The sequence below is a fragment of the Homo sapiens genome, chromosome 2 (genome assembly GCF_000001405.40).
Source record: "Homo sapiens chromosome 2, GRCh38.p14 Primary Assembly".
Taxonomy (NCBI): Eukaryota; Metazoa; Chordata; class Mammalia; order Primates; family Hominidae; genus Homo; species Homo sapiens.
In genome coordinates, this window is record NC_000002.12 from 77,411,379 (window position 1) to 77,436,803 (window position 25,425).

At 36.5% G+C, this 25,425-nt stretch overlaps 1 protein-coding gene across 4 annotated transcripts in view, besides 1 other annotated feature; it reads right to left on the reverse strand.

The window, feature by feature from the left end:
* The window catches only part of LRRTM4 (leucine rich repeat transmembrane neuronal 4), a 774,692-nt gene that overhangs the window by 663,694 nt on the left and 85,573 nt on the right, over nucleotides 1–25,425 (reverse strand). The window lies entirely within an intron of this gene.
* Nucleotides 9,945–10,160: a silencer, noted in NCBI's record as "fragment chr2:77648449-77648664 (GRCh37/hg19 assembly coordinates)". NCBI's record gives its function as "represses an EF-1alpha promoter that drives an FKBP-Casp9 reporter gene in an ReSE screen in K562 erythroleukemia cells {active_cell/tissue: K562}" and the evidence as "EXISTENCE:reporter gene assay evidence [ECO:0000049][PMID:32094911]".

The following is a 25,425-nucleotide window of genomic DNA, read 5'->3' on the forward strand; positions in this document are numbered from 1 at the left end:
TTTCTTTCTCTCTTTCTTTCTTCTTTATTTCTCTCTTTCTTGTTTCTCTCTCTCTCTCTCTCTCTCTTTCTTCTTTTTTTTTTTTTTTTTTTGAGACGGAGTCTTGCTCTGTCGCCCAGGCTGGGGTGCAGTGGCGTGATCTCGGCTCACTGCAAGCTCCGCCTCCCGGGTTCACGCCATTCTCCTGCCTCAGCCTCCTGAGTAGCTGAGACAACAGGCCCCCGCCACCATGCCCGGCTATTTTTTTTTTTTTTTTTTTTTTTTTGTAATTTTAGTAGAGACGGGTTTTCACTGTGTTAGCCAGGATGGTCTCGATCTCCTGACCTCGTGATCTGCCTGCCTCAGCCTCCCAAAGTGCTGGGATTACAGATGTAAGCCACCGCGCCCGGCCCCCAGGGTCTTGGATTTCTAACCTAGCTCTCATCTGATCAACACACCAATGTGTTCATTTAGACAATTTAAAAAAGGCAGTTTGCTTGCTCTGAAAGACAAGAATACATAAAATCTCATCTTTATCTTTGAAGAACACTTGAACTACTGTCAGTGAGACCTTGGTTTTAGGTTCTGAGGTCATGCTTTCCTCTTGCTTCTCTCACTTGATTTTAGGAATGAACTGCTGTGGCATCAGCCATGCCTCAACCCCAGTCCCCCATAAGTACAACTGTGGTCTTTACATGAGTTCTTTAAGAATGGACCACTTGTCCCTGAATTCCACAGGCTGAGTTCTACCTTTGATTTGCATTATTCGTAAGGGCCTCCAAGACCCATCAACATGAATATCTCCTCAGTGCCAGGAATAGAATGTAGGTAAGTGGATTGAACAAGGACACTAGACATAGGTAAAAAATTTAGGGGCAGCATTTTAGTTCGCAGTACAATCAAGATTCTAGAAGGATGTCATTTGAAATAAATAAACTTATTTCTGAGCAAAGACTAGCAGATGGTGGGATAAAAGTATCCTCTCTTAATATGTTCCATTCCTAAGAGTTCCCTAAATCTCTAGCATACCACAATTGCATCTGTTCAGCCATCTAGCAAATATTCTGTATTTGCAAGCGTTTTGCAAGCAGCTACCAGTGTTTAATCTTGGGATAATGCCTTCTTGATGTGCTAACCCCAAGAGTAATTCAAACAGCCTAAATGTGAATTACTCCTTGTAAAAAGGAAATGCGGCTGCTTGGAATCATGTCTGTCTGTAACTGAAGATATGACAACATTGAAACACACAGCCGTGTCTGTGCAATCACAGTCTGTAAGTGTAACCCTGGCCACAAGAGTATTAAGAGGGAAAGTGTGTACAAAACTAATCAGAAATTACTGTCACTAATAAAACACAATTTTCAATATTATTCCACACTTTACCAGCGAGTGAGAACTATTCTGTTGACATATATAAAAATTAAAATAAAATAAGCAGCATGGGATGGCTGACATATTGGATAGTAAATTTAAATATCTTAATTTAACTTTCTACCATCTAATTTTTGTGACTCAGTTTTTTTAGTAGTAAGAGGGAAAAAATAATGCTCATTCTACTCTACATCCCTGAGGTTTCAATAATACTCTCTTATCATTGTTCAGCAATTTACTACTTAAAAAGCATTTTTGTGTACATCTTCTCTACTGAGGCTCTGAATACATTTTTGAAGTAGGAAGGAAAGACTTCTCCTTTTTTGGAGACAGCTTTCTCAACTATAGGGGTGATTTGCTCCCATGTGCAGTTGGTTAATGGCAAGAACATTGACTCAACTATTGGTGTTTATTATTCCCAGTTCAGTACTTGCATCATTAAGGGTCCTTTTGCTTGTAATTGGCAGAAATCCTACCTCAAAATGGCTTGAACTAAAACGAAATTTGTTGCTTGATAGACCTAAAAAGAACATGAGTAGGTCTGGCTTTAGTTGCTGCGAAGGCTCAAATGAGGTCACTGAGATCCATGTCTCAGGGCCCTTTCCTCTGAGTGTCGGTTTCATCATCAAGCTGCCTCTCTTCATGTAACCAATTAGCTGTAGCAGTCCCAACCTCCTAAACTCATCCTACGCATTCCAAACAGTGAAAAGTTTTCTTTTTCAGAAGCTACAGGAGAGCTTTCTTTTGATCTTCTTGTTCTGAATGTAGTATTTGCCCTATTCTGGACCAATCATTGTTACCTGTGGAATGGACAGTCCATCTGGCTTAAGCCAACACAGTAAATGATGGAGAAAATTTTACCTAAATGTAACAATTAGAAGGGTGATTTCTCACAGCAAATATGGGAAGCTGTTGCCAGAAGGAGGGAGAATTGATGTTAAGAAGCAAAACACAAATAACCACAAAAGAGCTCCTCTTCTCTCCTCTCCTCTCTCCCCCAACCAGAAAAAAATGCACACTATCACCTAATGGAATGAAATTATGCAGTACATATGGACATAAGTTTCATAAGTAGAAACCAACAGGCAAACATTGATATTTCTGTCTAGTTTTATACACACACACACACACACACACACAAAACCCCATATATCCATATGTTAAGGTTATGTTAATTCCTTCAGAGATCTTCTGGATTGTGTGGATAGCTGTGGTCCTTCAAACATCAATGAGACTTTCCTGTAAGCAGAGTTCACTACAAATCCGATTCATTACACTGGAAAAGTGAGGAGATATTTGCAATACTCCTAACTGACAAGGCACTTGAGGTTATACTGTTACCTCAAATCAAAATGCTTCTAATCCCACATTATTATGTCAGGTTTCCTTTTATCCTTCTGTTTCCTTTCTTCCTGTATCTCTCTCTTTTTACTTATTTTCTTCCTGTATATCTCTCTCTTTTCACTTTTTTTTAACCTTCCTTTCATTCAACAAACAGATATTGAAGGCTTCCTAAGTAGTAGGCTCTATATTAAGAGCTGAGAAAACAAAGATGAGTAAGCCAAATCTTTGGCTTCAAGGCAAGACAAACAGCTACACAGAGAGTTGTAATTTAGTCTGGTACATACTACAAAAAAAGAGCGAAATACTTAGTACTATGTGAACAGTTTATTTACTTGTGTCAATCATCCTTCCCCTGCCCTCTCCCCAGACCTTGTCTTGATAATGGTAGTGATCTTCTTCTGTGTTCCCAATGAGCCCTGTTCATACTTCTGTTTATCTCAGATTATTTTGTGTCTTTAATTATTTGCCAACCACAGACACTACCAGCAACAGAAGCAATTAGATAGAATTTTAGGTATAATTTGCCATCAGTAACGGATGTGCTTTTTCCTACAGTTTCTCATAGTGATGGAGGATTGTTCTTACCCAACCACACTTTCTTTGGAAACAATGCTTACTGGGGAGCACCAAAAGTGAAGGCTGTAGTGTACTGCTCATGCAAGGAATTTATGTTTTAGTTTATGTGATCAATGAGCAAATATTCCTGTGCCTCCTGCCCCGCTCTATACCATCTTCCCTCGCACACAATAGCACCAATAATCCACTTTCAGTGTCTGAGCTTCCTGGCTGGAAAATCAGGCATCAAAACTAAAATTGAAAGTAGAGTTTGACACTTTCCAATGCCTTTTTTTTCATTGCTTTTGGATTTCCACACATAATACAAAGAAGGGAGAGAAGATAGCCTCTAATGTCCTACTGAAATCTAATCATTCCAAAATAGCCTTTTGAAAGATTAGATGGTAGTGATTTAGGAAGGAGTAAATATTGATTATAATTCTAAATTGTACTGCTATGTTTGCACTCCAGTGCACTACAGATCATATTCACTGAAAAATTACTTAAGAAGACATAAGTTTGCTCACTTTATCCAAATATTTTGTATACATTTTTTTCTGAAGGAATATTTTTGGGAAAATAATACTTCTACATACAATTCTGATAATGGAAGAATGATTATGTCTTAATTACATGTAACAGACTTCTCTTAGAGAAATACATTTCTTCATGCTAATAATTATTCATTTTTACTGTATTACAGGCTCTACCCTATAATATATCTGCCAGTTGAAAGTTGCTTTCTACTCTTCAAGGTGCAAGAACATATTAATTCCTCAATTTTATTCTTTGTCAGTTTTGTAACTATCAAGATTTCTTACTGAACTCGAAACTTATTCATATAGCCTTCTTAAATTCCATGGATCAATTAAATTATTTAAAAGTATATTTAGTTCTTCTAAAACATCATGTTCTCTGGACTCTATGGAAACTTTTGCACATACTGTTCATTTTGCCTGGAGCATTCTACTGCTCCCATCTATTTGCCTGTTTAATTTCCTTTCAATATGTAGCTTCCTTAGAAGTACTATTTTTTTCCAGGAGTCTCCTCTTGAATTCCTTTTACAGGTTACCTCCTAAAAATGTTTTCTAGCACCTTTCTCTTGTCTCTATATTTTGTACTATGGCTGCCTATTTATTTGTCTGTACTCAACTGGGCTTAATTCCTTGAGAGCAGAGGTAGGTTTTGTATCATAGACCTTACCACAGTGTTGGTATATAAGAGGTATTCCCTAGATATTTGTCACATGCATAAATAAATAAAACACAAATGATTGTCATTGATTACATGCTAGCTAACTTGCCAAATCCAAACATGATGGATTTATTTTTGGTTACTAGATGGTGACCAAAATCCTATGTAGTAAGTCTATATAATTGGCTAATATTTCCCTTAATTTATAGTATAGAATCAAGATGTAGTGTGAGGATATACAGTTATTTTCTTTTCACAGTTCATGTCACATCTCTTTTTCTTTAAAATAAAATATGTTTTGCACTTTCCTTTTGTTTGGTGACACCATTTATTCAACCTGCTTTAATATGGGATAGAATAATATTTCTTTAATTTTGTCCTTTAAGTCTTGTGGACTTTCAAATAATGACTGCAAAATTAATGACAGTAACTAATAAACATTCACCTCCATGAGGTGATTTTGTAGGCTCATAAGGAGCCTACAAATGAACAAGCCTGATGTTATTACACTTTGGGACATTTTGCAACAAATATTATTCTGTGGCTACTTGTAGATTGTTCAGTCCATCAGTAAAATTTTTTCTGAAATAAATATATAACTCATGGTAAGTACTAAAACATTTACTTGTAAGAGGTTTTATTTCATGCTTTGAGTTTGTTCATGAACATATGCTACTATTAGAAAGATTGATAATCGCCCAACATTAAAATGGCTACAAATTCATTCTCAATTTAAAAAATCAGATATTTCTGGCCCTCCATAAAAATAAACACAGGAAATTACTATTGTCAAAAGTTATCTCTAACTAAGGTGTTCATTAATATAATCTTAGCAAAATCATACCACTTCAGACAAAACCACCAGAAATAGGCATCCCATGTTTAATAAAAAAAGGCTTCTTTCTTACAGAAAAAGTAAAGATACTGTGTCAAAGAAAAAATGATATATAAAGAAGTTAATAGGGTAACTGCATAAATGGGTCCTTAAAATAAAGAGGTCCAGTAAAATACTGTAATATTTTATTTTTTTAGGTCTATTTATAAAACAACAAAAGCCAAAATTGACAAATGGGATCTAATTAAACTAAAGAGCTTCTGCAAAGCAAAAGAAACTACCATCAGAGAGAACAGGCAAGCTACAGAATGGGGGAAAATTTTTGCATTCTACTCATCTGACAAGGGGCTAATATCCAGAATCTATGATGAACTCCAACAAATTTACAAGAAAAAAACAAACAACCCCATCGAAAAGTGGGCAAAGGATATGAACACACTTCTCAAAAGAAGACATTTATGCAGACAAAAGACACATGAAAAAATGCTCATCATCACTGGCCATCAAACAAATGCAAATCAAAACCACAATGAGATACCATCTCACACCAGTTAGAATGGCAGTCATTAAAAGGTCAGGAAACAACAGGTGCTGGAGAGGATGTGGAGAAATAGGAACACTTTTACACTGTTGGTGGGACTGGAAACTAGTTCAACCATTGTGGAAGTCAGTGTGGCGATTCCTCAGGGATCTAGAACTAGAAATACCATTTGACCCAGCCATCCCATTACTGGGTATATACCCAAAGGATTATAAATCATGCTGCTATAAAGACACATGCACACGTATGTTTATTGCGACACTATTCACAATAGCAAAGACTCGGAACCAACCCAAATGTCCAACAATGATCGACTGGATTAAGAAAATGTGGCACATATACACCATGGAACACTATGCAGCCATAAAATATGATGAGTTCATGTCCTTTGTAGGGACATGGATGAAGCTGGTAGGGACATGGATGAAGCTGGAAACCATCATTCTCAGCAAACTATCACAAGGACAAAAAACCAAGCACCGCATATTCCCACTCATAGGTGGGAATTGAACAATGAGAACACATGGACACAGGAAGGGGAACATCACACACTGGGGCCTGTTGTTGGGGGGGAAGGGGGGAGGAATAGCATTTTGAGATATACCTAATGTTAAATGACGAGTTACTGGGTGCGGCACACCAACATGGCACATGTATACATATGTAACAAACCTGCACGTTGTGCACATGTACCCTAAAACTTAAAGTATAATAAAAAAAGAAAAATATACCACTCTATCTACTGTTTGAATAATAATAGTTCCCAAAAGAGAGAGAGGACTAAAGAGAGAACAAAATCATATTAATTAGATGACTAGTCTTCAAAAATTAGTTTAATGGCATAGGATGATTTTTGAAGGAAACAAATGCAAACTTTCATTAGGGAAGCCCTTGTGCTTTAAGAAGATGTAAATAGCACACAATTGTGCTATTTCTGTGTCAAGGGTTCTTAGCGTAGACCCTAACTAAATTTTTGATATTTTTTTTGAGCACAGATAATGAGGACTTGTGGAGTTCTCCAAAGTGATTCTGTGAAGTAGGAACAATAGCAGTGTTACACATAGTATTCCTGATGACTTCTAAAAATACTATGTGACATGATCTGATTAGTTGGTATACTTTTGTCCATTTCAATTTTTGAAGAGTTTATACAGACATTAAACTGAGAAAAATAATATGTTTGTATATCAAAGATACCTACAAATTTGGGGTCACGTTAGAAAATTATTACATGGTGCTCCATCCCCGAGCATATGCCCTTGACTTATTTTGAATCACAGAGACTGAAGTAAGGCTTTGGTTGTCCTAATTTACTAATAATTCTGTGCTCAAAAATTTCCAGTGATTCTCCACTGTTTGCAGAGGAAAATACAAAATCCTCTTAGGCCTATTTGGCCCTTAAAAAGCCAGTGCCACCTCAATATCTCTTTCACCTTCTGCTTTTCTTCATTGTATCCCAGCAACACGACTCCCTTGCTGTTACCAGACCATAGCAGGTGCACTCCTGCCTAAATATTTGAACTTGTTGTTCTTCCAGCCTGAGTTGTTTTTCTCCTGAGTCATACACATGACTTTGCACAAAGTCACTTTGTTAAAAAGATCTTCACTATCTATCTTGTTTCAATTTAAACCAAGCCACATCTGTGTACTCCTTCTCCTCTGACCAACTTTATTTACCTCCATAGCATTTACAGGCTTCCACTATACAATGGCATTTATTTACTGTGGCCAACAGACTTTCAAGGTGGTCCTAGGATCCCTGCCTCCTGATGTTCACTTATTCATCATGTTTATTGATTATATGTTTCTGCTAGATTATAAGTTTCACAAAGGCATTTTTAAGTCTTCTTTATTTACTCATATATATTGGGTACTTAGAATAGTACACAATATATAGTAGACACAATAAATATTTGTTGCATGAGTGAACACATAAATACATTATTTTTGTCTGCCCTGTCAGTGGATTTATCTATTTATTTTCTTTGGCTTACTCCCTATGCTGTGATTACAAACACTTGAGGCCAAAGTTAATTCCAAGACTCATGTGCTTGGTTAAGGAAATTTATGGCTAAGAAACATTAATGCTGTGTCAATAGAATGTTCCACATTTTGGCATGTGTTATACATTTGTCCCTCGGTATCTATGGGGGATTGGTTCCAGAACTTCTCACAGATACTAAAATCCATGGATGTTCAAGTCCCTTATACAAAACAGCATAGTATTTGCATACAGCCTACACAAATATTCCCAAATACTTTTAATCATCTCTAGATTACTTATAATACTTAACGCAATGTAAGTGCTATGTAAATAGTTGCTAGTTGTTATACTGTATTGCTTAGGAAACAATGACAAGAAAAAAAATCTGTACATGTTCAATAGAGATGCAATTTATTTCTGAATATTTTTGACCCACAGTTAGTTGAATCCATGGATGTAAAAAAATCATAGATACATACAGAGGGATGACTGTATTTTGTTTGGGGTTATTACTAATTTATGAATTTCCACTTTGCACAGTACCTAGTATGGACATTTCATAATAAACTTGGGTGGGGTTTCAAATAAAAGCATATAATATTTTATAAGGGAGCTTCAAGAAAAAAAAAAGAAAACTAAGATTAATCACACTTGACCAGATGCCTTCCAGAAATACAAAGGAAAGGAACGATTAAGTAATCATAGAAGAAACATGATCGGTAAACATAGAAAGCTGCAGCTTGTACTGTAGCCCCATTCCCCACCTGGGGACAGTTTCTGAAGGTGGGAATCTGGGTGCAACTTAACTGAGTGTCTGCACTTGAGGTTTCTCAAAAGGCTGGGATGAAGGTGTTGGCTGGTGTTTCTGTCATTAGAATTAACCCAAGGGTGAGCTGTGAAAGGATCTGCTTCTTAGCTCACTCACATCATTGTTGGCAGGATTCAGTTCTTTGTGGGCTGTTCATCTGAGGACCTCAGGTCCTCTCCAGCTGTTGCTGGGAGATCTCCCTCAGTGTCTTGTCATGTGGACCTCACCATAGGGCAGTTTATAACAGAACACATGGATTACCTCAAAGCAAACCAGCAAAGAATTACATAAAGCCAGCAAGACAGAAGTCATGCTCTTTTGGTAATGTAACCTAGGAAGTGACATTCTATCACTTTTGTCAAATTATATTCATTGGAATTGAGTCACTGTGTCCAGCCCACACTCAAAAGTATGGGATTACACTAGGGTTTAATTAGCAGGAGGTTAGAAATTTAAACGCAGCTTTATTGTCTGCCCACCACAAGTATAAAACAAATGAGTGACTATGTTAGTATCATTGGGTATTAAAATTTGCAGCACTGGAGAAAGGACGTACAGGTATAAGGTTAAAGAATAAGGAAAAAGCTATTCATACTGAAATGGAAATGGAAATATGACTTCGTAGTGTATGTGATATATATATATATATATTTCTGCCCAGGCCTGTGGCCCACTATTTCTCCAAGGAGCCTTGTCTTTTTTTTACTAGGAAATATAATTCAGAGAATATAATCTGGATGTTTGAAGTGCTCATTAGTCTTAAGGCCCTTTCAGTGGACAAAATGGGAATGTATATATATATATAATACATATATAATATATAATATATTACCCTTAAGACTTAAGTCTTAAGGCCCTTTCAGTGGACAAAATGGGAATATATATATATAATATATAATATATTAGCCTTAAGACTAATGAGCACCTCAAACATCCAGATTATATTCTCTGAATTATATTTCCTAGTGAAAAAAAGACAAGGCTCCTTGGAGAAATAGTGGGCCACAGGCCTGGGCAGAAAATATAAAAAATTAGCTTGAAAGAACTTGGTATAGCAGGAAACAAGGCCACTAGAGGTATCAAAGAAATTTAGAAACCAACTAGAAAAGGCTTTCACAGTTCAAAAATAAGAAAATATGAGCATAAATAGAACTAGTAGCTATAGTGAATACAAAGACATAAATTCCATTTAAAATTATGAGTTATTACGTCTCCTCTAAGGAAAGCTTGAGAACTAACTGGTCATTTGGAAAACTGATAAAGGAAAAGAATCAAACATATATCCTGCTTTTCATATACAAATCTTAAGATAACCCAGTGTTTCTCAACTGGGTTTTTTTATCTTTGCCCCCAGGGTCATTGGCAATGTCTTAGATACCATTTTAGTTGTCACATCTAGGGAAATGCGTTACTGCCATCTGGAAGGAAGAGTCCAGGCCGGGCGTGGTGGCTCATGCCTATAATCCCAGCACTTCGGGAGGCCGAGGCGGGCGGATCACGAAGTCAGGAGATCGAGACCATCCTGGCTAACACGGTGAAACCCCTTCTCTACTAAAAATACAAAAAATTAGCCGGGCGTGTTGGCGGGTGCCTGTAGTCCCAGCTACTCGGGAGGCTGAAGCAGGAGAATGGCGTGAACCCGGGAGGCGGAGCTTGCAGTGAGCCGAGATCACACCACTGCACTCCAGCCTGGGCGGCAGAGGGAGACTCCATCTCAAAAAAAAAAAGGAAGAGTCCAGACACGTGACTGAATATCCTACAGTGCACAGAACAACTCCTCATAACAAAGAATTATCTAGTCCAAAACCGTCAATAACACCAGGGTTGAGAAATCTTGAGATAACGATATACAATCATGCAATGAATAACGATATTTTTGGTCAACAATGGACCACATAAACAACAGTGGTCTTATAAGCCTATAATACTGTGCTTTTACTGTAACTACTCTATGTTTAGGTATGTTTAGATACACAAATATTTACCATTTTGTTATAATTGTCTAGTTCAGTTCAGTAACATGCTGGGCAGGTTTGTAACCTATATCGTATAGCCTATTATACCGTAGAGCTTATGCCTGTGGTAGGCTGTGCCATCTAGGTTTACTTAAGCATATACTTTATGATATTCAAACAATGACAAAATCATCTACTGATGCATTTCTCAGAATGGATCCTCATTGTTACGCAATGCGTGACTGTAGTTGAAGAGATAAAGTTTTTCTTTGTGCAAGTATTCCAGCTAATGAAAGTAGAAATATTTAAAGTAAAATACCATTTTTTGTAATCTCTAATAAAAGGTGGATTTTGGTATTCATTATTATGGCTGTTAACACTACATAAACATGAAAGAGCAAAACACCATATAAGCCATACTTTGTCAATAAACTGCATCCATGTCTGATGCAGAAATGTAATAAATGGTACCAGCAAGTTGCAATTTGTTAAATCCATACTTTAAGATACTCTACTGGAAAGATGTCACAGTTTTTTCAAGAAGTAAATTGCAAAGAAGTAATACGAGGCAATGTGACACATCAACCATTTGCAAGAGATGGAATACATTTGCTTTCTTATTGATATAATAAGCAGAAAACAATTTATGAAACCATCATAGAAATTTGAAAAAATAGAATATTTGACTATGATATTGAGAAACTATTTAGGATATTCTAGGCCTGATGATGATATAGAGTTTATTTAGTGTTTATTTTTTTAAAAGCATTCTCCTGTTTCTAAGACACAGACTAAAATTGTTACAGGAATATGGTATGATGTTGGTAGCTGGTTCAAAATAATCTAGAGTGAAAAAGGAAGAAAGTATAGGAATATATGTGAAACAATTTGAATTTATCATACAGCATTCTCTTTATTGTATGTTTTCAAAATTTGGCATAATAAAAGTTTTTAAAGTTTACAAGTTTCTATTTAATCCCTACTGTAGTCATATTAAGGGAAAAAACATATAATGAAATAGCAACAAAATATTCCATAACATATATCAACTTGACACAAACCTTAGGATTACTTGCTTTAATGTGGAATTTTAATCATATTGTGTTTAATTTTAAATATTAATTTCTTAGTGTTCTGCTTAGATTGAAAAATTTTTTAGCACTATTCATTTTAAGAGTTGCTTTATTGCTAGATAATGGCCCATAAAATAAGCATAACTTGTTTAATTTACTTTTCATCGCCTACTTACCATTTAAGTTTTTTCTACTTTTCAGTGTTATAAATAATACTGAAATAAATACTTTTTGCATGTAATTTTTTTTTAACCAAGCTCATTTATTTTAGGGCACATGGGTCTTTTATAAATCCATCTCTTTGGAATAATTCCCAAAATTTAAATAACTGAATATAAGGTCTCATCATTCTAAATATTACTGATACATGAAGACAAATCACTCTCTGTAGATATGAAAAATGCATTTGGTAACAAAAAATTGAACTTTCTGTAACAATCACCTAAACAGGGAGTGTTCTGTTTATCTTACATAATGAAAAGTTCAGGGCTAGTAGCATGGCACCATGCATGGTGTCATCAGTAACAAGTCCCTTCTATCCCTTCTGCCATCTCTAATGCTACCAATGGTCATGATTGGTTGCTGAAGCACCATATCTGAGGGCCAGACTGGAATAGGATGGAAGGGGCAAAACTTTCTTTCAAAGCATTATCTTTCTATGCAGATAGGCGGCTAATTCCTAAAAGACTTCCAACTTCTCAACAGTCAGAATTGTGTTGCAAAGTCATGCCTGACTAGAAGGTATGTAGGAAAATATGAGTTTCATTTTCTAATCTGCATAAAAAAAGATAAGGTAGATGAAAATGGACCCCGAGTGAGCCAATTCATAGTATAAGAGCCTGGGTTCAGGAATCCCAAAGTGCAAATGACAACCAGTCTTTGGTACAATCAGTCACATTCCACTTAATAATTACATATAAAATGCTATCTTGTTTTTCAGCTGTATCCATTAAGCTGTCAATTAGAATAATTTTTTATCTTTATTAATTTTATTATTTATTTTCTAAATTACCTATACATGTGTTTTGTCATTACCTAACTAGGTAATTTTTAAAACATTTATATCAACAACTTTATGGGTGGCAGATGTTACTGTACTTAAGAGGACTGAGAGGTCAGAATCTGAAATTAAGTTATCTGGTTTTGTGTTATTGCTCAACCTCTTAGCAATCATGCAAACTTGGAATTCTCCTGGGCATATAGCAAGAGTTCTGTACATTTTAGTTTATTGTTATTTTCATTGTTTTTGAAATAAGAAGCAATCACTAGAAAACTGAATTTTTAGAAAAAAATGTTGAGAATTTCTCGAAATAATGTTTTCTACTCATCCTCCATGGAAAGAGCTTTAGCTCTGGATATATTTTCCTACTTTTTGGCATTCGCAAGTTTTTCATAATATACTCCATTATACAGTGAACTGATGAGCTCAGAAAATACCGGGTAAACTCTTCAGTTTTAAAGTGTTAATAATAGACATGAAGTATCATCATTCTGCTATAGAATAGTTTGATTTTTAACCAAAACCACTTCCTTATTCCAATGGAATGCATATTTTGCAATTTGATGTCTTTGTTAGCAACTTTCTGATGGGTGAACCATTTTAGCGAAGGACAATTTCCAGAAACCATCAAGTAATACTTTAGTGATGATTGTACAATTTGCCATCACAGTTCATATAAACTTCTTGAGGTTATTTAACTAAAAATGAATCAGAACAAACAAGTATTTTGAAGATTTGCTTCAAACTTGAGGAAATTCCAGCCTTAATCACATATACACTCCTGGTGGAAGTTATACTATATTTGGCTATAGACCCAGGGATCCTTATAGATGACAAAGGCAAGTGTTAATGAGTCCATTATTAGTGTTGGTTGTTTTTATTAAAATTTCTCAGAGCTCCAGGAGGTGAACTAGTATATTCTTTTTATTTTAGATGCTTGATGTTTTAAGTGGAATATGAAACATCTTTGAATCACAGCGGCAGACTCTTGAGGATGATTAAGCATGGTGTCTATTAAAAAACTATTCCAATTACAAAAAGACCTGTGCTAAATAAAACTACACTCACAGAGTGAGGAATTTGGTATTTAACAATCTTTAAAGATTTTCATTTATATTCCTTAAGTTTTTCTTCTATATTTTATTCATTCAGAGTAAACCAACATCTGAAAATTAAGGACCAAGTTAGAGACCTTCCAGTTTCAAAGACAAGTTTCTTGTAAGAACTCTCTGTATTCAGTCTCTCCATTTCCTGACTTTTTATACATTTCTCAGCCTAGTCATTAATTTAATCTATTATTCTACTTCCAAATGTCTCATGATTATCACCAAACACATTTTTCTAAATCCACTGGATATTCTCCAACCATCATATTACTTGGCCCCTAAGTAGCATTTACTTTTGTTAGCCTGGATCTATATTTACCTTGGTTTCCTGGTTATCTATCTTTTATGTTTCTTCTCTTATGTTAGGCAATCCATTTTCTGCCTTGTTTGGAATCTTACCTTCTCTACTGATTGGAATTCCTCAAGGCTCCCTCTAAAGATTGTTTTCTTTTCATTCTATAATATTTCCCTAGATAATCATATATGTACCAATTGACACCTATAAGTGGATAAACAAGAAGTTTATTTCTTAAGGCCAGATCTTACTTTTAGCCCAAGATATGTATATCCACTGCCTCCTTGACAAAGTCTTTTGGATATCTCAAATCTCTACATGGTCTATATCCAGCTCTCCTTTCAAGCCTTGGCTCCTCATGTAATAGAACCTGTTTGAATCTAGCTTCTAAGACAGTGATTAAAAGTCAATCCTGGCCAGGCGTGGGAGCTCACACCTGTAATCCTAGCACTTTAGAGAGGCCAAGGCAGGCGGATCACTTGAGACCAGGTATTTGAGACCAGCCTGGTCAATGTGGTGAAACCCTGTCTCTATTAAAAAAAAAAAAATTAGCTGGCATGGTGGTGCATGCCTGCTGTCCCAGCTACTCAGGAGACTGAGGCAGGAGAATCACTTGAACCTGGAAGGCCAAGTTGCAGTGAGCCGAGATTGCGCCACTGCACCACTCCAGCCTGGGCAACAGAGTGAGACACCGTCAAAAAAAAAAAAAAAAGTCATCCCTGATATCCATCTCCCTATTTCCCCTGTTCGATTAATCAAAAATTCTCTTGAATCTACTTGTTAAATGCTACTCAAGCTCATTTACTTCTTAGTGTCTTTCACTAACTAACACCAATTTTCTTAGTTCAGCTGTGATTTAACCTTTTCCCTTAATGTATCTACAATAGGAACCTAAATCATCTACATACATGTACCCCCCAGCTTCCCTGCAGTCCATTCTTTGCACTCAGCCAGAGCTATAATTCCATCACATTGATCAGATATTGATATTCCTTGAGCAAAACACTTACAGGCTTTCCTTTCCTTTTAGAGTAGCACAAATTTGCCAACTTTCCCATTTACCAACTGATACTGTTTGGCTACATCCCCACCCAAACCTCATCTTGAATTGTAGTTCCCATAATTTTCACATGCCCTGGGAGGCACCCAGTGGGAAGTAATTGATTCATGGAGCAGTTACCCCCATGCTACTGTTCTTGTGAGAGTGAGTGGTTTCTCACAATATCTGATGGTTTTATAAGGGCCTTCTTTTCCTCCCCTACTTTGAATTCCCTTTTTATTAACTTTCACTTATTCCTCAGATTTCTGCATGCTCTCTGTCTCTCTCTTTTTCTCTCTCTCCATGTGTATGTGAGTACATAATATGTACACACACAGAGGTGTATGCACACACACACACACACACACACATGCACACACACACACACAGAGAGAGAGAGAGGGAGAGAAAGAGAGATAAAGAAATCTCTCCACAGTGACAAATGCATATTTTCTTATAAGGCTATGGATGGCTGCCTGTATTCCCCTTTATTCTTTAAGCTAAGGCTGTGACTGTGCCTGGCTTTTTTTTTTTTTTTTCTGACGGAGTCTTGCTCTTTTGCCAGACTAGGGCACAGTGCTGTGATTTCTGCTCACTGCAACCTCCGCCTCCTGGGTTCAAGTGATTCTCCTGCCCCAGCCTCCAGAGTAGCTGGGACTACAGGTGCGCACCACCACACCCAGCTAATTTTTGTATTTTTAGTGGAGATGAGGTTTCATCATGTTGATCAGGATGGTCTTGATCTCTTGACCTCATGATCTGCCTACCTCAGCTTCCCAAAGTGCTGGGATTACAGGCGTGAGCCACCGCACCCGGCCTAGCTTTATTCTTCTCTAGAATTTAGCAAAGTGCTTGGGACCTAGTTAATATCTGAGAAAAATTTGTTGAAAAAATAACAAATAAGGACTCTTAGTCCACAGTACAGTTATGGATCACTACATTAATTCTACTTTTATGTAAATATTTACCCTTTACCAAGTTAAAGTATTTTTCCCTATAAGGACATGTTTGCTAAGTGAAAAGAAGTATAGATTTGAATGTACACAAATGTGTGTAACAATGATTTATAAGCACAGAGAAAACTCTCATTTATTGATAGTTTGAAACCAAGTTTTAGAGCAATATGAGTTTTGCAGATTAATATTCCTTGTGAAGCAGTTATATAGTTGAGTTGTTGATTTAACATGTATTTTCACCTTAAAATATATGATTTGGCCATCAGCTGGCCATAGGGAAAGAATATGGGAGAACACTGTGGGATTTGGGGACATACAATCTTTACTTAGATCTTATAACCAAGGCTCCACTGAAGAGTTAAAATTCTTTGCTTATTGATATATAAATCAATGTTACTAATATTTAGAATCCCACATACCATATAACATTTAAAGAAGTGAGGAAGAGTAGCATAAATTTGCCAACTTTCCCATTTACCAACTGATACGGTTTGGCTGTGTCCCCATCCAAATCTCATCTTGAATTGTAGTTCCCATAACTTTCACATGCCCTGGGAGGGACCCAGTGGGAAGTAATTGAACCATAGGGCAGTTACTCCCATGCTACTGTTCTTGTGAGAGTGAGTGAGTTCTCACAAGATCTGATGGTTTTACAAGGGGTTTTCCCCACTTTTGCTTGACACTTCTCCTTCCTGCCACCATGTGAAGAAGGATGTGTTTCCTTTCCTTTCTGTCATGATTGTAAGTTTCCTGAGGCCTCTTCAGCCATGGGGAACTGTGAGTCAATTAAACCTCTTTCCTTTATAAATTACCTAGTCTTGGGCAGTTGTTTACAGAAACACGAGAATGGACTGATACACCAACTACAGACATTAAAAATGCCCACATTCCTCGTCCAATAACCACATCAACAGTAGAGACAGGATATATTAACACACACAAAAATCAGAAGGACATTAGGATACATATGGCAATTACATAAATGTAACTTTTTGTTAAACTGTGGTTAATGTTCTTATTTTTTATTATTTCACTTTGGCCTGGCAAAACTTTCATCAGGAGACTGGCCCTGTTCCATAATTTTATATTTGAGAATCACTCATTTAATGTGAGAAGGACTCTTAGCCCACAGTAGAATATTGCCTTTTCCCATTCTCAGTAATATTTTTAAAAGGTTCACATTTTTTAGATATAGGCTCTAAATAATTTTAGTATCAATTGGATAACTGTTTAAAACTTAGAAGAAAAGTTGAAGTTTGCCTGTGTATTGTCAATAGAAAACACAGATAAGGCCATTCATTAACGGAAGAATCAGAAGAGTAAATGGTGAATATAACTATTGCATGTTCTTAAGTAAAGTTTCATTATTGAGACTGTTAAAAAAGCAAATAAAGTTTAATTGCCTTGTGATTAAGTAGAATCCTTTTAATGTCTGAATTCATCGGTATGTCCCAAGACTCTGGTGTACTTTTAAGCACATAGTGTGCTGCTTAACAAATACCTATTGATCACTGTTAATAAGGAGTAGACACAATTAGAAGAAAAAGAACAGACCTAAATTAATCCTTTACTGGGTAGGAAAGTTTAACAATGTCATTCCCTGGGTTTGACAGTAATTTCATTTAAAGATTTTTATAAATAACCTAAAAGTGGGAGTACACAGTAAATTATCCAAGCTATTCTAAGCAAAGGAATGCTGAATGAGTGGGAGTAAAGTGCAGGAAGAACTCACGGAGCTGTGTAGGGTAAGACGAATGGCAATTGAGCTCCAATGTGGGCAAGTGTGAAATAAAGCATTTAAAGAACAACTCCAGATACGGAATAATCGATTATAAGATATAATGATCTTATAAGAATAAGATCTTTTATGACCCAGGAAAATTATCTAAGAATTACAATATGCACTTTCATTCAAAAAGCAATCTCACTACTTAATATATATCCAAAGAAAAAGAAAATTGGTATGTTTAAAAGACTCCTGCACTCCCATGATTTTGCAGCATTATTCGCAATAGCCAAGAAACAGAATCAACCTAAGTGTCCATCAAAAGATGAGTGGATAAAGAAAATGTGATACTATACACAATGAAATACTACTCAGCCTTAAAAAAAGAAAAAAAATCCTGTCGTTTACAACGACATAGATCAAACTGGAGAACATAACTTTAATTGAAATAAGCCAGGCACAGAAAGAAAAATACCACATAGTTTCACTTTATGTGTATGTGGAATCAGAAAAAGTTGAACTCATAGAAGTAGAGAGTGGAATGGCGGTTATCAGGAGCTGGGACAGAAAGAAGGGGTGGGGGAAATATTGATCAAAGGATATAAAATTTCTATTGAGACAGGAGGAGTTAATTCAAGAAATCTGCCAGGTGGGGTGTCTCATGCCTGTAATCACAGCACTTTGTGAGGCCGAGGCGGGTGGATTGTTTTAAGTCAGGAGTTCGAGACTAGCCTGACCAACATGGTGAAGCCCTGTCTCTACTAAAAATACAAAAATTAGCCAGGCATGGTGGCACATGCCTGTAATTCCAGATACTCAGGAGGCTGAGGCAGGGGAATCACTTGGACCCAGGAGGCGGAGGTTGCAGTGAGCTGCAATTCTGCCACTGCACTCCAGCAGCCTGGGCAGCAGAGTAAGGCTGTGTCTCAAAAAAAAAAAATCTGTTTTAAAACATGCTAACTAGAGTTAATAATAATATATTGTATTCTTGAAACATGCAAGAATGGATCTTGTTTTCTCCACAAACAATAACAATGTGAGGTGATGCATATGTTAATTAGCTAGCTTTAGTTATTCCACAATGTATACATACTTTAAAACATCATGTTGTACACAATAAATACATATATTTTTATCTGTCAATTAAAAAATGGTCTTATATCCCATATAATCACTTAAAATCTAGGTAATCTCTTAACCTTTTAAAATTAGCATCTTTCTTATTCAATTCTGGCTGTTATAATAAGACATTTTAGGTGGCATGTGATGATTAATTTTAGAATTATCTTGACTGGATTGGGCCCTGTGCAGCGGCTCATGGCTGTAATCCTAGCATTTTGGAAGGCCGAGGCGGGAGGATCACCTGACATCGGGAGTTCGAGACCAGCCTGACCAACACGGAGAAACCCTGTCTCTACTAAAAATACAAAATTAGACGGGCGTGGTGGCACATGCCTGTAATCCCAGCTACTTGGGAGGCTGAGGCAGGAGAATCACTTGAACCCAGGAGGCGGAGGTTGTGGTGAGCTGAGACCACGCCATTGCACTCCAGCCTGGGCAACAAGAGTGAAACTCTGTCTCAAAAAAAAAAAAAGAAAAAAGAAAAGGAACTGGATTAAGAGATACCTAGATAGCTGGCAAAGCATTGTTTTGAGGTGTATCTGTGAAGGTGTTTCCAGAAGATATTGTCATGTAAGTTGGGGGACTGAGTGGGGGAAGATCTGCTCTCAGTGGGGGCAGGCACCATCCAATCAGATGGGGGCCCAGATAAAAAAAAAGTCAGAGGAAAGGCCAATTTGCTCTGTTTTCTGGATCCAGGACACCTTTTCTTTCTCCAGCCATTGGACATCCGAACTCTAGGTTTTCTGGCCTTTAGACTCTGGAACTGGCATGAGCAGCCCTCCAGCATCTCAGGTCTTCTGCCTAGGACTGAGAGTCGCAACATTGGTTTCCCCGGTTCTTCGACTCCAAGACAGCTGTAGTGAGACTTCTCAGCCTCCATGACCGCATGAGCCAATTCCCCTAATAAATCTTCTCGTCTATCTCTATCTATGCATGCTTTCGATTTTGTCTTTCTATAGAACCCTGACTAATATAGAAATAAACTTCTATAAATAATACAATTTTTTTTTTGCTCAGAGTTCTGGAAGCTGGAAAGTACAAATTCAAGAAAGGGTGAGCAAGCTTCCCAAAGCCTCTGTTATAAGGGCACTAATCCCATTTATGAGGGCTATGCTCATAACCTGATCACATCCCACAAAACTCAACTTCTTAATACTATCACATTCAGAATGAGGTTTCAAAATAAAATTTTGGGAGAACACAAACATTCAGACCATAGAATTCTGCCCCTGGCTCCCCAAAATTCTCACATGCAAAATGCATCCACTCCATCCCAATAGCTCCAAATGTCATAACTCACTCCAGCATCAACTCACTCAAAAGTCTAAAGTCCAGAGTCTCATCTAAATATCAAAATCAGATATGGATGACAATCAGGGTGTGATTTATTCTGAGGCCAGTTGCTTTCTAGCTGGGAATCTGTGAAATCAAATAACTTACGTGCTTCCAAAATTTTATGGTGGGGAAGGCAGAGGGTAGATATTTCTCAATTCTAAAATGCAGAAATCAGAACTAAGAAATTGGTAATTGGGGCCAGGCACGGTAGCTCATACCTGTAATCCCAGCACTTTGCGAGGCTGAGGAGGGCGGATCATGAGGTCAAGAGATCGAGACCATCCTGGCCAACATGGGGAAACCCTGTCTCTACTAAAAATACAAAAATTAGCCGGGCATGGTGGCATGTGCCTGTAGTCCCAGCTACTTGGGAGGCTGAAGCAGGAGAATCACTTGAACCTGGGAGGCAGAGGTTGCAGTGAGCCTAGATGGTGCCACTGCAGTCCAGCCAGGCAACAGAGTGAGACTCCATCTCAAAAAAAGAAAAAAAGAAAGAAATGGGTAATTTGTATCAAGTAAGTTCAAAACCCAAACCCAACAGGGCAGACAACATTATATCTTAAAGCCTGAGAATAATCTTTGACTCAACTTCTTGCTTTCAGGATACACTGGGTTGGGTTCCCAAAGCTCCACATAGCCCTGCCCCTGTGACTTTCCTGGGTGCAACCCACGTAGCAGCTCTCATGGTTAAGGATTCATTCCTGTGTCTCCCTCAGGATCCCTCACCTCTTGACACTGTTACATCGTCGATTAGCTTTCAACATATTAATTTAGGCAACACAAACATTCAGACGAAAGCAGTAGCTATGATTATGTCAAATAATTGTGGAAGATGAATTTTTTGGCAAATTTTGTAAGGTATATCCTTTAAATATATATTGTTTATTAAACTTTAGAAAAACAGGTTTATCTCATTCATTCAATTTAGAGAAAATGTCTGCATTGGCAAAAGCCAGTCATCGACATATGGGATACAACATTCTCACTACTGAATTCTAATTACACAGATAAAGAGACAGAAAGGCTAAGAGATAAGTATACTTTTAAGTATACATACATGTATTCATATTTAGAGAGCTAGAGATAGGTAAAGAGATTACAGACACATATGCATGTATATGTTATATGTGTGTATATAGATATAGGCATACACAAACACCCAAACTCATGTATACCCCAAGAAAGCTTTGGTAAGAAGAGTCAGAGTCCTGTTTCAGTCTAGCTGAAACAGATATGTAAACAAGAGAAATGTAAACAGGATGAAGTAAGACTTCTCCTTTCAATACTTCTTACTAAGATTTTCTTTGCTTTGCTCTTTGGAGTATACTTTACAAGGCATTCTCCAAACTGTCTCTTTGTTTGATTCCCTGGAGATGTTTACATCTTCTGCCAGTGAAAAGATGATAGCTGAGTGAGCATTGTGTCTTTCCTCTCTGAAATGGGAGAAGGGCAATTGTGAAAGACAAGGCAGAAAAAGACAATCTACAGCTTTTAGACAGTTTTCAGGTAGGTTAGTTTTAAGAAATAGTACATGTGGATCTGGAAATTAAATTTCTTAAAACTATACATGCTTTTGTAACCCCAAGCCTTCGTACTGTACCAACAGATAAAAATGTTCAATTGTTTGAAAGCTGCTGCCCTGAAGAAGAACTTGAGCAGAACTGCCCATTTATTTCCTTAAAAATGAAAATAGGAGAGAATAGATGAACAGAAAGTTATGAGGGCAGTATGAGGAAGATATGATGTGCAGGGAGGCTATAATATTATATTTTGAGAAAAAAAGAAGTGGGAAAGGTCAAACAGAATTAACCATAACACTTTAAAATCAAAACGGATTGCCAAGTTCAGAGAAAGCTTATCTTCCATCTCAACCTTGCACCAAAATTAACAAATCTAAAAATGACTAGATCTTTAAAAGTCAAACACTATGCCTATAAAGTTTGCTTATTATGAAGTAGAGTGTGTAGGAAAGCAAGATGATATACTTATCAGGTAATATTCTGATATGTTTACCTATAGATTTTCCATTCTTCATTGCCATAAGACCTTAGGCCATTTTACCACCAATTAAGGGAAGCCATAGCAGACATTGAAAAACCAAAAAGAAGGATTTCTTGGCTTTGGAGTTTTCAAATGTTGAAGTCCTAACACAAACAACAGGAGTGGAAGGAAAATTCACAAGCCACTGGGATGCTGCAGAATGAGTAGATAAGGCTCTCTCCACCGATCTTTGAGCTGGGGCATGAGAAACATCAGAGAGAAGAGCAGAAGAATTAATTCTGTTTAGGAATAGGTCTCTGATGGCTTTCTGTCTTGCATTTTAACCCATCTGAGCTTCATGCAAAGAGGCACAACAGAATCTCTACACAAGTTATGGGATTTGAGAGCAGAGGATATCTGAGCCCACAAGAACCATGCGGTTCTAGACTTCCCAGCATGTAAGTTGCTGTAGCAATAAAGTAGACATAATTGTCCAATGGGTCTAGATGTGAGATTGCCCTACTAAGTTTCCCACAGTGATAAAATTAAGATAATATCCAAAAGATCCCTCTGGAGATCTTAAAGCTGTAGAGAGTGACATCAGCGTTAGGATGTTGAACAGACACAATCATGTGTGTAGACTTTTTTTTATCAGATCCCAGATTGGGAAAAAAAAAAAAAGTTTTCCACATGTCAGAGCAGAATGGCTCTTACTGAATAGGAACCAGGAAAATAAAAATGCTGCAAAAGATACCAAAACAGGCCAATAGTGACCAAGAACCCAGCCACCTTTCATGGGCCTTGATGTGAGTCAGAAACGTACATGCAACTTTTGAAACAAAGGGAGAAAATAATAACACTTGATCTGTTAAAAAAAAAAAAAACTAATGGATTGAGTTTATTAACAAATGGCTAATTTTCTTTTAAAAACAGTCTTAAAAGAGCTGGTGGCAGAAATTAATTAGAGTTATGCAAAAAAGTTACATATTTTACACACCACAATTGATACATCTTAATAACCATTGGTACATAAAATTAACATAATAGCTGTAATTTATGGAGAACTTTCTCTCCAGGTTTGGTGTTCAGTACTTTGCATGCATTATTTTATCTTCTAAACAACTCCATAATTTAGAAATTGTTTTACAGCATTCCCATTTTAAAAGTCAGTAAAGCATAGTGATTTGCCCAAGGTTACCAAGCCAATAGGTGGTAAAATCAGAAATAAAATTCAAATATATTCACACCAATTATCCTACCCTTAGTAATTACACCAAATAACTATGACCATAAAGATGGATAGTGATGTTGGTGAGTGAATATGTAAACTGTAGCTATATTGAAGGTTGTGTTTCCACCTCCTACTTTAGAGGACCTAGTCATCCAGTTTTAGGGATTCTCAGTGGTCACTATTGCTATCTTGGGTCATACAATTTTTTGTTCTCAATTGTTTGTCCTATGCATTGTAGGATGTTTAGCAACATGCCTAGCCTCCCTCTGCCCACTAGATGCCAGTAGAACTCCCACCCCCAAGTTGTGATGACAACAAAAATCTCTATTCATTGCAAAATTTTCTCTGGGGGGCAAAAGAGCCCCTGGTTGAGAAGCACTAGGTAACATACATTTAGAGTGACTGAGTGGCCAAAGGACCTCTTTCTTTACCCACTGTCCTGAGTCCAGTTTTGAGATTTGTTGTGATCTCATAACTGATGTTGAAGACTTGAATCCAACTAATTAAAAGAATTGGAGCTGTATCTACAACTCATGAAAAGAAATTGCATCATGAGACATATTTTAAAGTTTTATTACTCAGCTATTCCTTAAAGAAATTGCTGTATTGCTTAGCTAAACATTCTTAGGTCAATTATCCTATATGTGCATATTCTTTAATTTCTTACATGAAGATTCAATATCCAATTTATATAAAATGATTATAATGATAACATTAAAAATAAACCCAACATTTGTTTAAAGGTCATGCAAAGTCATACCGAATGGGCCAGTGGTGACCAAGAACCCAGCCACCTTTCATAGGCTTTGATGTGAGTAAGAAAGATACATGAAAGTTTGGAAATAAAGAGTGAATATAATACTTCCTAATCTGTTAAGAAACTACAACACACAGGACAGCCCAAAACGTTCCTCAATTCAAGATGTTAATAGTGGCAAGGCTGAGAACCTCTAAAGCTGGACAACTAGGTCCTCTAAGGTAGGAGGTGGACACAAAACCTTCATATAGCTTCAGTTATATATTCATTCATCAATATCTTTATCCCTCCTTACATTCATGAAGTACTCCTGCAGATTCAGGACACTAAAACTTTTACCTAGACCATACTGCAAGGGAAAAAAATATCAAGGATTAATGGTATAATTAGAGAATTATTGATTCATTTCTTCGTTCAGTTTTAATTCATTTATATCATTCACATGAGCATCCATTCTTAGATAATTTTGACTCTCCATTTATGTAGAAATATATATGAATAGGAGAGACATTGATAAGTTCAAACAGAGTAGAGTGTTGTAAGAAAACATATTAAAAGCGGTACCAAAATTACTGAATCATCTATTGATAAAACATGCTGCATATTCTTATGGGACTATGAGAAAAAAATGCCCAAAGCAATGACTAAATCGTTAATAGACTATACACATTTGAATAAAGTCTAGTATGTTACGTAGTGGTGAGGTTACAATACTAAACATGACATATACCTTGAACGTCTAGCAATGCTAAGCTAATGATGGCTAGAATCCTAAATACAGAAAATCATCTGTCTTTGAATAGCAATGCTAAGGTTGTTTGATAATAATACAAGTTAAATTAAATTAATTATATGTGATTTTTATAATCATATATAATTGCTATAATTTATTTTATGTAATTTATATAATACCATAAGATTAAATAAAAATTAGAAGTCAGAGCTTGATGTTAGGAGAAAGTAAGTTTTGGACCAATAGAAAAGGGATTAATTTATTATAGAATCCATTACCATCAGAAATAACATGCGTTTAAACAAACGAATAGATTCTAGAAAGCTTTAGATGATTTAAATGGGTGACAACTCACCATGCATAATCTTTTGATAATGAAATATATTAAAATAAAGAAAAAGGAAGTAAAGACATAACCAATACATTAATTTCTGCTTTTAGTTCTATAATGATAAGTAATGATCACATATTTTCTGTATGTAGTATATAAAACTAAAAGGCAATG